Source organism: Homo sapiens, chromosome 1, assembly GCF_000001405.40.
Source record: "Homo sapiens chromosome 1, GRCh38.p14 Primary Assembly".
Taxonomy (NCBI): Eukaryota; Metazoa; Chordata; class Mammalia; order Primates; family Hominidae; genus Homo; species Homo sapiens.
In genome coordinates, this window is record NC_000001.11 from 3,380,945 (window position 1) to 3,395,198 (window position 14,254).

Genomic DNA, 14,254 nt, shown 5'->3' on the forward strand with positions numbered 1-14,254 from the left:
AGCCATCAGTGGCCGGATCACAGGCATTGAGGAGGCCTCAGATGTGAGGTTGGATGGAAGGGGCCAGGGTTCTCCTCCAGGAGCTCTGCCATGACACAGAATCCACATTTCTGAGAGGGAATTGGCCATCGCTTCAATGTCCTCCTGCTGGCTTCGGCCTTCTGCTCACCAAAGGCTTCTCGCCGCGTTCCCCCAGGACAAGCACACATACATGAACGCACACACATACATACATGCACAGGTGCACCCACACACATGCACACCCCCCACATACATTTGCACCATGCAGGAACACGCCCACACACAAGCACACACCCAGATACATGCACGCCTGGATGGCGAGGGGCTTGGAAGCACTTAAAATAGTGGGACACGGATTGTTTTTCCAGGGATTTATTGGGGAGAGCCCCAAGGCCTGGAAGTCAAGATGAAGCCAATACTCTTGTTTTTTTCTGGTTTTTTTTTTTTTTTTTTGAGACAGAGTCTCTCACTCTGTCTCCCAGGCTGGAGTGCAGTGGCGCAATCTCGGCTCACTATAGCCTCTTCCTCCCAGGTACAAGCAATTCTTGTGCCTCAGCCTCCCAAGTAGCTGCATACCACCACACCCAGCTAACTTTTGTATTTTTAGTAGAGACGGGGTTTCCCCATGTTGGCCAGCCTGGTCTTGAACTCCTGACCTCAGGTGATCCACCCGCCTCACTCTCAAAGTGCTGGGATTATAGGCATGAGCCACCGTGCCCGACAGAGGCCAACACTCTTGAGTCAACAACCAGGCCCCAGGAGAACCCCATGCCATGGCTGTGGTCACTCACGCGTCATTTACCTTCTCCCTGGCCCCTGTACCATATATGAAGAGAGAGAGCCCAAAAGAGACGCATGCTGAGAGGGAGAGATACAGAGACAGACAGAGAGAAGCAGAGCAGGGGAGACAGAGAGGAAGAACCTGGCACCCAGGCCACCACCTGTACAGGGGCTGTGAGTCCCCTGCCCCACAGTGACCTCCAACCCAGACCCGGCCAGTGGTGAGGGAGGGGGGGCCTCGTGGGTCTTGGCCAGCCCAGCCTCGCTCCCTTCCTGTGGCAGAGGAAGATGGCAGGGCTGCCGACCACAGCTCTGGCTTGGCGGGCCTTTCCAGCGGTTTCCTGCTGCGCATCAGCAGTCAGGGTGGGAGGTGAGGGGGCCCTAAGAGGCCTTTGTGCCTGGGGAGGGGCCTCACCACGTGGGGCTGGTGGCCCTGGGTCTGCACCCTAGAGGATGGGAAGCCTGCCTCCCTAGTGACAACCAGCCGCTTGTGGCCTCCTCCCTCCCATGCCACGCCCCTGCCACCCCTGTCCTGGCAAGAGATGGGGTGCAATGGGGCGGGCTGCTGAGTCTGTGGTTCTTGGATTGGGCTGGCCCTGGACTTGGGCAGGGCAGGCAGTGACCTCCCTGGACAGCGTGAGGACCCTTCCTGCAGCCCCTTTAGGGACCAGGACCTCAAATGTCAAGGGATTTGCAGTCCTGCCTGGGGCACAGCTGTGTCTGCAGAAGCTGGTAACACAGAGGCTGTCTCCCTGGGAACCTGCCCTGAGTCCTGAACAGCAGGGTGGCCACAGACTCCCCACCAAAGCGAGGCTTGAGCCAGCCGGGGCCCAGAACAGGGGGAAGGTGTTGGCTGAGCCCATGTCTTGGGTGCATTAGGGGTGAGTCCTGCCTCTTGGGAAGTGGCCTGAGCCCCATCAGCTGGTCCCTGGGCTGAGGGGGATGCACTCAGGAGCACGTACTCCTGGCTGCACCAATGGGGTGCTGTGACCCAGGTGCTCCAGCTTTGAAGACAAAAATCCGGGTCCCAGGTGGGAGGGCACGGCCCGCCCTGGGTGAGCACCAGCCCTCAGCCCACAGGCACTGTGTACAATGTGCTGTGACGTCAGCAGGCCTCTATGGAGAAGTGGACCCATGGGCTGGGGACGGGACTGGGATACTGCCAGCCCCATGTGGCCAGCTGTGCTCCTGCTACTCCATCGTTTGTATATTGAGCATCCCCCCGCCGCCAATGTTTTCCTCGGGCTCCAGCCCCTAGCCTAGTTATGCTTCTTGGACCCACGTCCCCTGTGGACCACAGGCCCACCTACAGTTCCGAGTGGACAGAATTCACGGCCAACCCTGGGCAGAGAAGGGACCTGGCCATTCAGTCACAGTCACTTGGTGAATGGAGCAGAGCAGCCACAGCCCACGAGCTTGGGAGCATTTCTGCCGCTGCCGTCTCTGAAATAAGACAGGCTTTGAGTGAATCTCCCACTGCCCTGGATGGAGCCAGAAGGGGCCCAGGGGCAGGCACGGCTGTGTGTGATAGGGAGCACAGGGACCCCAGGAGCACGCCCCTCTATCCTGGCTGACCTCCCGCCCTGCACCCCAATCTATCTCACCCAGCACCTCTGGAAACCCTTAGTCGGGAACCCCAGCTTGGTGGTGGATGTCAACAAGGAGACTGAGAGCAAGTGGAACAGGAAAGAGACTCGAGGCCCTCTGCCTGTCTCTGCTGTGCTCTGGGGGCCAACTTTCCCTGGAAGCCTCAGGGGAAGAGGGAACACCATGCACAGAGACCGGGGCACGTGGACCACATGCTTCCCCATTGATTGGTGCCGACGTTTAACTTTTCAAAAGAATTCCAGCACCAGGCCCGAGATGGCTAGGAACCCAGGAGAGTGCATGCCCAGCATCTGAGGGTCAGCCAGCACCAGGCCCGAAATGGCTAGGAACCCGGGAGAGTGCATGCCGAGCATCTGAGGTGCCCAGAGTCAGCCTCCACTGTTTTCACTTGGACAGGTCACTGTCTCATCCTGACTCCCCTGGGTCCTTGTGACTCCCTTATCCATCACCCCTGCCCGCCCAGACACACCTGCTCAAAGACACACCTGCCTAAGGACACACCTGCCCACCAGGACACACCTGCAGAAGGACACACCTGCCCACCAGGACACACCTGCAGAAGGACACACCTGCCCAAGGACACACTTGCCCACCAGGACACACCTGCCCAAGGACACACTTGCCCAAGGACACACCTGTCCAGGAACACACCTGCCCACCCAGATACACCTGCTCAAGGACACGCCTGCCCACAAGGACACATATGCCCACCGTGACCCACCTGCCTGCCAGGACACACCCACCCAAGGACACAGCTGCCCACCCACATACACCTGTCCAGCAGGACACACCTGCCCACCCATATGCACCTGTCCAGCAGGACACACCTGCCCAAGGGCACTCCTGCCCACAGAGACATAGCCTTTCTACTTTAGGGACCTGAGTGTAGCGTGGCCCCATCCCCTGCCCCCTGCCCTCCCTCCTGCCCTGTCTGGGCTGGGCTGCCCAGGAAGCTTGCCCAAGATGCTGCTGGTTTGAATTCAGAACCCAGAGTAGCTACTGGCCAGAGTGGGGGAGGCTGGGGGGCCTGCAGCCGCCACCCATGGTCAGGCTGTTTGAGGGGACACCGTCTCTCCACAGTGGACAGCAGGTCAGGTCTCCTCATCGGTGGTCCTCGGAGGAGTGGGGGTCACAGCAAATAAGAAAAGTCCTAGGGGTTGCCACTCTGCCCGTTCAGAGGCAACAGTGACAACAAAGCAAAGCCAAGTTGGTTCGCGTGTGACTTTGCGGGCGTGGTGAGAACAGCTAGGCGTCTTCATGCTGCTGGGTGTCAAACTGAAACTCTCCAGCTTTAAGGAAACCAGATGCTTTTCTTGCTCTCAGAGTGATGTGCAGGCTGCCCTGAGCATGCACACACACATGCACACCCAGCAACACCTTCACCTTCAGACACGCTTTTCTCTAGCGCAGCGTCCCAGCTCCTTAGCAGAGGGCTCTGCTCCCAGATGCAGCAGTCCCTGCCTTCTCACACGTGGGTCAGCTTTGCTGCGGGGGTGGGGGTTGCAACTCTGGAGGCTCATTTTATCGCCGGGCCAGGGCAGTGATCTGCTCGGTGAGAAAAGAAAAGGCCATTCCCTGCCTTTCTGCTGGGCTCCTGGAGACTCCTGGAGACTCCCGGGCATGGGCAGGCTGGGTGGGCTGGGAGCCCCGCTGATGCCCGGAGGGTGGGCTGAGGTCTGGACGCCGACTTGCCTTCCTACTTGAGCCCAAACAGCCAGGTTTCTGGGTGGGCAGAGGCTGTGTGCAGACTCCAGCACACAGGGCACCTCTGACTCCCGCTTCGCTTTCCTCCCAGCAGATCTCCGAAGACCTGGGCAGTGAGAAGTTCTGCGTGGATGCAAATCAGGCGGGGGCTGGCAGCTGGCTCAAGTACATCCGTGTGGCGTGCTCCTGCGATGACCAGAACCTCACCATGTGTCAGATCAGTGAGCAGGTAGGTCCGGGCTCATAACAGGGGCTTCTGCCTCTTGGAATTGTCCCTGAGGATGTGGCACCAAGATTGGTGGAGGTGCCGAGGCAAGGGTTGTCTGAGCCTCTTTGGGGACATCTGCCAAGCCCTGGCCTGCAGTGGGGGTGCTGTTTGGTGCTTGGCCAGCACTGGCTTCCGGGGAGCTGACTCACCCCGGGAGGGCTCCATTGGAGCCTTGCTCAGGGACCCTGCCTGAGGCTGGCAGTTCCTGAACCCCGAGATGGTGGTTCAGGTGGAAAAGAGCAATGAAGCAGGCAGGACCGCGGATCACAGGGTCCACACTTCCTGCAAATGCCGCTTCCCTGAAGGACACGGGAGAAGCATAGAGCAGGAACAGTCACTGAAAGAATCCATCTAAATGGCGCTGTTTCACCAAATTTTCCGAAGAGTCCGCACCGGCCAATGAGGCAGCCACTCGGGGGGCCTCCTAGAGCCTCCGGGGCCTCTGACCAGCCTGCTGAAGGCCTTGGCCTTTTTGGCACAAAGTCCCTGTCCTGCAGGCAGCGAACCAGGCAAGAGATACCTTCACTTCCGTCCCTGCCACCTCGGGGCTGAGGAGCCCCCTAAGCTCCCTGGATCCTTGACCTCCACGGCTGGTCCACACCACCACCAGAACAGGCATCCAGACCCACAGGCTGATCAGGGGAGAAGACGCGGAGTCTCCTTCCACTCCAGAAGGCACCGTGTCCCCAGAGCTGGTCGCTGCTTCATGGATTTCTCTATTTCAAGCTTGCGAGTGGCCCCTGGAGGCCCTTCTCACTCTCAAGCCAGGCCTCCCGGGCGGCACTTTCCGCCTGCATCCTGAACACCGTGCGTTCCTCGGGGTGCCCGGGGTGCCCGGGGTCCCCGGCCCCTTACATCACAGTAGTCTGGTTTTTCCTGTAATATCTTGGGGTCATACATGAGATTTCATTTGAAAAAAAAGAAAAGGATCCCATGGCTGTGAAAAATGTGTGTGAAGACCACGTCACGGAACATTCCCGCGTAGCCTGTGCAAGCCATTGAAAGTGATTCAAGGCTCTCGACTTTACAGAAACAATTTTGCATTAAGAAATGCACAGAGCAAACTCCAGGGAGGTCCCGCAGGCCCCGGCTGGCTGCCAGGGGCTCTCCCTCATTTGCCGTCCCCTTGGCTGTGGAGCAGAATCTCCATCGAGCAGTTGCTCCGCTGGACAAGCTCGTTCTGGATGGGGACATGAATCTACGCTACTACCAGGACTTCCGTGGCCTTCAGTTAGAGCCAAAAATGTTTAAAATAACTTTTTCTGATTGAAAAAAAAATACAGAGATGAAGCAAAAGAATAATCATAAACATAAGAGCAGAACTTAAAAAAATTTTTTTCTTTCTTCCAGATGAAAGTGAAATTGGAGTGAAGGAAAATTGGGCTTGAGGCGCATAGAAGGACGGTCTTTCCGTCCCCTTCTGGGGCTCAGATTTGCAGAGTGTGTCCTTAGTCGTCCGTTGGGAAGCTGACGGGCAGGGGCACCGCGGGGCTGGGCCAGGGCTGTGCTTTTGTGAGATGCAAACTATAGTAATGAAGGGCCCAGATTTTTTTTATTTAAGAAATAAATGTTTATTAGAACTTTTGAACTAAACTTAAGCGGTAAAGTGGGTATCTTTATGTGTCTAGCTTTTTAAAAAACAAACGTGTAATCTCAAAGAGAAGCCTGTCTTTAAAAAAATCTTCATTGTATTATTAATATTTCGGGGAAGCTTTCCTTTTAGCTACACATGAGGTCCAAAAGGAATGGACTGCTTTGCAGCCAACTGTGTTTCCATGGTCAGGACCAGGGGGCAGAAATCCTTTTTGCCAGGATGGAAGAATGATCCTGAATCCTGATCCGTTCCTTCCCTTTACCCCACCGTCATCCCACAGTGCCGACTTCCTCCAAAGCTCCGTCCTAGAGTCAGAAACATACTTGGCGCTATTACCCAAACCACAGATAATGTCAAAACTCCTCAGATACCTCCTGACCTGCTAGATGGCTCTCTCCAACACCGCCTCAAGGGATTCGTTCTCTCTGTTTTAGGTCCATAGGCTGAATTAAAGCCACAAACCCAGAGGGAACTCGAAATGCACATTTAAGCAAATGCAACACCAAAATGGCCCAAAGCAGAGAGAAATTCCTCCACTCGGGGCACTTCCGACCCCCTCAACCCCCTTGTGAGACCTTCCCCTCCGACAGGGAGAGGAGCCCTCTGCTCTTGAGAGCACCCCTCATAGGTAGCACAGCCGGTGACGTCGGGTGTTACAGGGCCACCGACGCTCCTGCCCATGTCCCCGCAAAGGTGCACCTCCGAGCTGGATAAGCCATGTGGCTGGAATGCCCGGGAAAGCAGGAGCCGGCCAGAGGCTGGAGGAGACTCGCCGCCCAGGCACGGGGAGTGAGGTGGCTGAGTTGGCAGCTTCTTCTCCTGAAATCTCAACCGTGAATTTCAGTTATCAAACGAAAATGAGCATTGTGTGGAATGTATTTTCCTTTGAATAATAATAAGATTTAAACACTACAAATATGAAAAACTGCTCTCAGAAACCCATAGACTCTCATAGGACATGACTTTTAGCAATGCCTTTTGAAAGGGATATAATAGATTTCAATCTAGTGTTTAAATGCCCTCTCGCGCGCTGTGACGGCTGTGACGGCCGCACGGCCTCGGCAGAAAGCATTTCCATTCCCTGGCCTTGACCACGGGAACGTGGGTTCCTGCAAAGCAACCTATTTGACCCTATGCGGAGCTAAAATAAAAACTGCCCTGAAATATTAATAAAGCCAAGAATTTTTTAAAAGCTTTTAACAACTTCTCTTTGAGAAGGAAACATCACATGATACTAATGCCATTTCTCAGATTTCCACCATGCCAGGAGTTCCACCAGGATTTCCTGGTACTTACGAACACCATCCCCACACACAAACACACACAAGTGAACAATCTTCCTCCCTTCCCCTCTCTCTCTCCCTCTCTCTTTCTCTGTCTCTCTCTTTCTCTGTCTCTCTCTTTCAAGATTGCACACACACCCCCACCTCTAATACAGCACAGACACAGAAGGGAAGGAACCATATCTGAACATCCGAGCTCCGTAAAACAACGTCGAGTTTGCCAAATGGTATTCGGCAGGGAAAATACTTCGGTCAGAAAAGCATCACCATCATTTTGAGGTTCAAGACATGTGACCTCAGCCCCCATTTTCAAAGGAAAAAGGAGACTAGGGCAGAAGACAGTGTAAACGTCCTAAAAAGAAAGTTCTGGAAGCCACAGCCTCCCAGAAGAGATGAGCTCCTCTACTGGGCTGAGGAGAGAGGCCGCTCTGAACTGAAAACTCAGGTCGATATTCAGATGGGGACCCAGGCTGGGGCTTTCCCCGAGTCTCCTGCTACTGGCAGCCAGGACTTAAGCAAACTCTGGGGCCTGGCCTCCAGGGTGCTCCTATGTCCTTGGGGTGAGACCCACACTTTAGGGGCACTTTGGAGGCGGGGGAGTCACACACCTCCTTCAGCCCATCCCGGGCTCCTCCTGGCCTTCACTGGATGTGGGTTGCTGTGCATTCAGATGGGGTCTGGGGGCAGACGCCACCCCCGCATCCCTCATGGTTCCATGCAGTGTACTGGCGCTCTAGCTGATGCTTTGGGGCGCTCCAGGGCACCTGCTGAGCTGGGCAGTGCAGCACCCACAGGCCCGGTTCTGACTGTCTGGCCAGGACCCAATTCTGGCTGCTCAGAAGCCTGCTCAAATCACTGACCACGTGTCCCTCTCCCAGCATCCCCTAACACGCCCCAAGACACCTGCCCTGTACAAAAGAGGACCGGCCATGTGCTCCTCTGCAGCCACTGGGGAGAGGCAGGGGACAGGGGCTTGAGAACATGTGAGCCCCGGAGCTTGAAAAGGCTCAGCAACCAGCCAGCACCTCCCCAGAGGCTCCCCACTGCCCTGCCGCCTCGCAGTGCCTCATGGACGGAGGCAGGACCGGCTAAGCTGAGGGAGGCATGGAGGCCCCGACACCCTCCTTCCCAGGCAGGGCTGGCCCAGCATCCTGTTCCTTCCCCATCTCAGGCCCCATGGGAATCGGACCGTCCTCTCCATGAACAAGAGCTATCCCTATGGCGTGGGGCTGAGGGGGCTGCTTGTGGGCCCCACCTCCACGTTCTCATCTGGCAATGAGATTCCCCCTCCTGGCCCCAGGGGACCTCTTGAGAGGTGACCGGGCCCATCCCAGCCCTCCTCATGGCTCATGGGAGAGCCGAGCAGAGCCAGAGGCCACATTGGGCCATGAATTTGTTCCTGGGCCCGGCCCTGTTGCCCAAAAGGGGACTTGTGGTTTTCTATTTGCACAAGGAGGCCCCAGATCACGGCCAAGGGCACACTGGCCCCTTCCGAGGCCAAGGGTCCCGCTGCTCCTGAAGCGGCGCAGGCTCTCTGGGGAGCTGCTGGGAGCAAAACATCCCTGCACACAGCTGCGGGGACCGAGCCTTTCCCCTGGGACTTTCGGGGCAATCAGATTGCAAGGGAGATAGGGCTCTGAGGTGTCAGAAGTCGTCGTGGGGGACTTTGACTTGCTGCCTCGTCCGAGCATGAGCGGAAGGCACAGAGGGGCCCTCGGGAATCTCCATGCACTTTTCTGGGGGTGCGCCCCCCCCCCCCCCCCACCCTCTGGCTCCTACTTTCCCTTTTGGAAAATTCAAGACACTCAGATCACCCCTGGGTGGTTCTTTCTCCTGTAATTATGAACAAATGAGCTGGTTTGAAATGTTTCAGGAGACACAGACAGGGACAGTTCCTGAATTTGTTTTAACGTGAAGAAAGAAAACAAGAGCTTGGCGATGAAGCGCCTGCGGGGGGATGCGGGAGGCAGGGAGGAGCTGTCACAGCCGGCGCTTTCTGTTTTTTGGTTTATCTTTTTCTCATGTTGCCTCAATAGGGCAAGAATGTTGGTGGTGGGATGTCAACTGTCTAGTGGGGCTGAAGATGGCTGGGGACAGGGCTGAGGTCAAACACAAATGTCGGGGAGCTGGACTCAGGGGTGCGGGCCCCCCAGCGTACCACGGAACGGCTGTAGGGCTCTCAAACGACCTGTAGCACCCCTGGATTGAGAGAAGCAGCCCCAATCTGCATAGCGCCCTGGGGCTGCCTGGGCATCAGACAAACCCCAAAACCCCAGGGCCTTCCAGGGGCAGAGCAGGGGTCCCGGCGCCCGCCGTGGAGCAGCACAGCCCCTCCACAGAGTGTTCCGCGCAGGCATTGTGTTAGAAGAGTGGCCGCCGGTGGCCAGGCAGCACCGCGTGGACAAGAGCCCGCGCGGGTTGTTCATGAGAACCAGGTGTCTCTCGGGTCGGCGGAGGGCATTTCTCTTTTGCTTTGCTGTCCTGGGCTCTGACCCGGGTCCCGCGTTTCTGTCTGGGCGTGTGCCCTGTCAGGGTTGCGGTTTTAAACAGAGGGCATCCAACACCCATCATCTTGTTCTGCCCCGACCCCAGACATGTTCATATTCCCTTTGCTTTTATCTCTCACAGTGTGTTTTTTTTTTTTTTTTTTTAGACAGAGTTTCACTCTTGTTGCCCAGGCCAGAGTGCAATAGCACAATCTCGGCTCACTGCAACCTCCGCCTCCCGGGTTCAAGCGATTCTCCTGTCTCAGCCTCTCAAGTAGCTGGGATTACAGGGGCCTGCCACTATGCCTGGCTTATTTTGTATTTTTTAGTAGAGACAGGGTTTCACCATGTTGGTCAGGCTGGTTTCAAGCTCCTGACCTTGGGTGATCTGCCCGCCTCGGCCTCCAGAAGTGCTGGGATGACAGGCGTGAGCCACCGCCCGAGCCATCCTCACAATTTTTTTAAATTAAAAATCATAGATTGTTAATTTGGTTAAGGCAGGCAGGAGCCTCCCACCATGCGACACAGTTTACCCCCTTGAAATGGGCGGGAGGAGGGCAGGGGGCTCCTTCGGTATTTCATAACCAGCTTACAAAAGACTCCAAAATACATGCAGGTTGCTTTGATTCCCATTTTACGGGGCCCCCTTTGGAACAAACTGATCCTCTTCTTGGTGAAGAACAAGGTTTAAATTCAACTGTGCCGTCTGAACCGCTACGCAAACCACCTGTCAGGATTTGTATATTCCTTTCCTGCTCGTTACAGGCTCACTTTACTAGACGAAGCTATTTAAGAATGATCAAGGTAATTTAACTGTGGACTCGTCATTTATATTTTTATAATCCAGATCCAAACCACACAACTAAGAAACAGATAAGTGTGCACAGAGTTTTATTTCATGTCTGGGTCGCTGGGATGGTGACGGCATATCGCACACCACACAATAATAAAACTTAGGCTTAATAAAAATGCTTCAGCTATGTGCAGGACAAGAGGAAGGTGGCGAAGCCCGGGACTCCAGCGGGCTTTTCCTCGCTCTGCCAGAGGATAGGACTGTCTATAGTCTGGGAGCCTGACTGTGGTCTCCTCCAGCCGCTCAGCACGGAGGAAGCCGGAAATTGAGGCCGGCCAGAGGCAGGCTCCCAAGCACAGGCGTGCACAGGGTAGGGAGAAAGGAGACCCCTGCCCAAACCCCAGCGCTGCAAATCGGGGTGCTGCCCCTGCTGGCGCTTAGGGCATCATCACTACGACATGCTCAGCTCCTGGGCCGGCCTCGGGGCTCGGGGATCATCACAGCGCTTTCCCACACTCACAGCGTGTGGAGACAGCAAGGAGTTAAAATGAAGCCGGGAGCAGCACTGAGACCCAGCCACCTCCGCTAAAACCAAAATGCAGGGGACGATCCTCAGCCCAACATCCTCTCTCTCTCCCAAGGCCAGGTGAGAGGCAGACCGGGTCACCAGGGGAATCTGCTTTTGGGAAATGGTTTCAAAGAATTCCGATTCCACTGGCTGCTTTCACGTGTTTTGTGAGAAAAGCCTCTTGCACAGTAAACTCAGGCACAGTTGAATTCTGAAATCCAGAATGGTGAGCGATTGAGTTTTTTCCAGTAAGCACACGGAAGGAGGGTTCACCTACTTGATTCAAGCCTGCCTTTAAAGTTTATTACGCTGGTCAAAAAGAGACAAGAAAGCCCAAAAGTTCGCTTGATGGAAAAAATTCATTTATTCCAGGAAAGAGAAAACAAGAACGGCCGCTGCTCAGATTCAACCCAGTTCCTTTTAGTCTGCAGTCCGGTGATTCCCACCTGGTGGAATTTGCATGGAGTTTTTCGTCTATTTGTATTGTTAAATTCTATGATTAAGCGGGAATGAGAACCGTACCACTAAGAGCTTCATATTCGAAAGTCGTCTCTTTTCTTGTGAATTGATTTGATATTTTAAAAACTTTCTTTAAAGACCTGTAAGGAGAAGGTATCCCAAAGCTGGCAGCCATTGTAAATGTAAATGATTTCTGTGTCTTAAAGAATATTGCTGGGAGCAATGATACTAATTTTCATAAAAGGCTCTGTCTGAATGAACGTGGCCTGGGCTGACTCTAGGCTCTTCTCGGGCAATTTCTCTGCCTTCTGTTGAGAACGTGGCCATTTATTTGTCCCAGAAGTCCACTTACCTACAAGAAGCCGCCTCTTTGTGTCTGGAAAGTGATAAAAGGGGGAGAAAATAGGCAGGGTCATGCTAAATACAGTTTGAATTCGGAGGACCTGTGTTTCGTGTTGTTCACCCACGTTCAGTCAAGTCATTGTTGTTACAAAGAGAACCTGAAGTGTTGGAACAAGGACTTAACTTCAGATCCAGTCTGTTTGGCATCATTATTTTTTTAAAGCCATTTACAGCAGACATTTATTGGCGCTAGTAAACTCAGCTGTTGTTAAGAGGGTTCCCCACCCTCTCAGATCCTTAAACCAAAGGGAAAATTCCAGCCTTGCCCGTGCAACACAACCCGGGGACTTAGGCACGACTTCAACAGCATAGCGGAGGCGAGTGTTTATAAAAAGGCATAGATGCCTAGATGCTGTCGCTTAAGCAAATATACTGTTCTTCTTCCTTTCCGGCGGCCAGTCGTCCTCCCTGAGGCCGCTGCTGGGGGCTAAAGGCTATCAGAGACTCCAGACTTTATTTTTGCTTCAACAGACTTCTCCCACCATGCTGACTTAGCGCGGTCTGAGCAGGACCCACCGCGGGTCTCACGAGGAAAGGAGGATTATAAGCAGACGGCAGGAATGTGTAGGGAGCTGCAGTCATAATTTATGACAAGCCCTGCAGGAAGGGGTCTGCAGTACAGTAAATGCGCAATTTGTGACGCTCTCGAGCCAGGAGCCGGCGCAGGCTGGGTCCGCAGACGCCCGGTTCCCACCGCGGCCGGCCCGGTCTTTGTCCCGGGAAGTCGCCTGACCCCGCCGGCCAGGAACAGTGGCGTTCTCGGCGCGTCTGGCTGATAAGGCCTTTGTGACACCGGGGACAGGCTGTAAAAACGCAGCCAGCTTTTGTCTGCACCTCCGCGCCGCTGGCAAGGGCGGGGCCGGCGAGTGTGGAAAAGTTTGCGCGGATTCCCGTTCACCTCTGACCCCCGAAGCAGTTGGAGGCAGGTCGGGGACCCCCGCCCCCGCCCCGCCCCGCCTCGGGCCCTGCGATCAGCAGTAATAGCGATTAATTCCGACTGTGGCTCCAAGTCCCATGGCCAAGGCGCCCTCCTCCTGCAGGTCCAGGGCCAGGGAGGGGGAGCCCGCGGCCCGGCGCGCTAGACCCTCCCGCGGCGGCGGCGGCTCCAGGGCAGTGTCCGCGCCGGAGGGGAGGGTCCCCCGGCAAGTCTGCTGCCCTCGGAGCCGGGGTGGGGTCCCAGGAGACACCGGGGGCCCTCGGATTGGGGGAAGAGGTGGGGGAAGGGGTTTCCTTCCGCAGCGCCGCGGATCAGAGGAGGGAGGCCTGGCGCCCTCGGAGCTGCGGTGGGGGGCATCCCAGGAGATCTGGCTCGGTGTGTAGAGAAGGGAGTCCGGGCGGCGTCCTGGGAGTGTCTGTGGCCTGCAGAGAGGGGATGGGGTTGGGGTGTGGATCCCGGGAGGCTCGGAGGCGCTCGGAGGCTCTCGGAGGGGGCCAGGCGGAGGATCCAGGAGGGCCGCCCAGCCCCCGTCCGCCCACCCAGCCCTCTGCCCGCCAGTGGAGCGGAGCCGAGAAGCAGGGAGTGCGGGAGGATGCCCGAGGTCTCACGTCAGGACCCTCGACGGGGGTGGGGTGGAGAGGGAGGTGGTGGGTGGGGTGGGTGGTGCGGCCTGGAGTGGAGCCAAGGGGCGGGCGGCCAGGGTCCACATTGCCCTCTAACGGGACCCCTCGAGAAGCCTCAGCCTCGCCCGCTGACCCTCCTCTCTCCTGCCCAGGGCCCGGGCCAGGCCACCTGCCCCACGGGCATCAGCCAGGCCGGGCAGTCACTCAGCAGCCCCTTCCACTTGCGCCTGCTACAATGCCACTCACGGCACCGCTCAGAGGGTCACCCGGGCTTTGTCCCAGCTGGCGCTTCTCATCCCGCACTTTGGGCCCGATTTTCTAATACAGTGGCTCAAGTTTCTTTTTTAAAAAAGAGACAATGATTCAGCCACTGTGTGATTTTTTTTTTTGATAAGATGATACAAAACTGGGGTCCTAATAATAATGGGTTTAATTGAAGAAGTTACCATGGGCCAGTTTCTCCTCTCCACTTTTACATCTCCTCATAATTTTAGCAACTTACCTGACGCCCCATAAGGGAACTTCACACACTACTGACAGAGGCCGTGCACCTGCCTGTCCTCCTTCGTGCAGTTCCTGTCTGGGTGTCTTGGGAGTAGCAGACACTGGGCATTACCGTCACGCTGTGACTTATGTGTGTCTTTTGAGAGTTCCTTGGTGTCATTCTGGAGTCAGTTGGGACTGGCAGATTGTAGTGAAATTCACAATGTGGGGGACATGGGGGAGGA

The 14,254-nt window shown here is 55.8% G+C and overlaps 1 protein-coding gene across 2 annotated transcripts in view, besides 3 other annotated features; it reads left to right on the forward strand.

The window, feature by feature from the left end:
* PRDM16 (PR/SET domain 16) overlaps window positions 1–14,254 on the forward strand; it is a 369,419-nt gene that overhangs the window by 311,742 nt on the left and 43,423 nt on the right. For both annotated transcript variants that reach the window (NM_022114.4, NM_199454.3), the window contains exon 4: window positions 4,208–4,342. In NM_022114.4, the coding sequence (NP_071397.3) occupies window positions 4,208–4,342 (135 nt within the window). The remainder of the gene's footprint in view (window positions 1–4,207; window positions 4,343–14,254) is intronic.
* Window positions 6,196–6,696: an enhancer, noted in NCBI's record as "H3K4me1 hESC enhancer chr1:3303704-3304204 (GRCh37/hg19 assembly coordinates)". NCBI's record gives its function as "activates a minimal SCP1, AML or CMV promoter by ChIP-STARR-seq in naive and primed H9 embryonic stem cells {active_cell/tissue: H9 hESC(naive and primed)}" and the evidence as "EXISTENCE:reporter gene assay evidence [ECO:0000049][PMID:30033119]".
* Window positions 6,697–7,197: an enhancer, noted in NCBI's record as "H3K4me1 hESC enhancer chr1:3304205-3304705 (GRCh37/hg19 assembly coordinates)". NCBI's record gives its function as "activates a minimal SCP1, AML or CMV promoter by ChIP-STARR-seq in naive H9 embryonic stem cells {active_cell/tissue: H9 hESC(naive)}" and the evidence as "EXISTENCE:reporter gene assay evidence [ECO:0000049][PMID:30033119]".
* Window positions 10,453–10,954: an enhancer, noted in NCBI's record as "H3K4me1 hESC enhancer chr1:3307961-3308462 (GRCh37/hg19 assembly coordinates)". NCBI's record gives its function as "activates a minimal SCP1, AML or CMV promoter by ChIP-STARR-seq in primed H9 embryonic stem cells {active_cell/tissue: H9 hESC(primed)}" and the evidence as "EXISTENCE:reporter gene assay evidence [ECO:0000049][PMID:30033119]".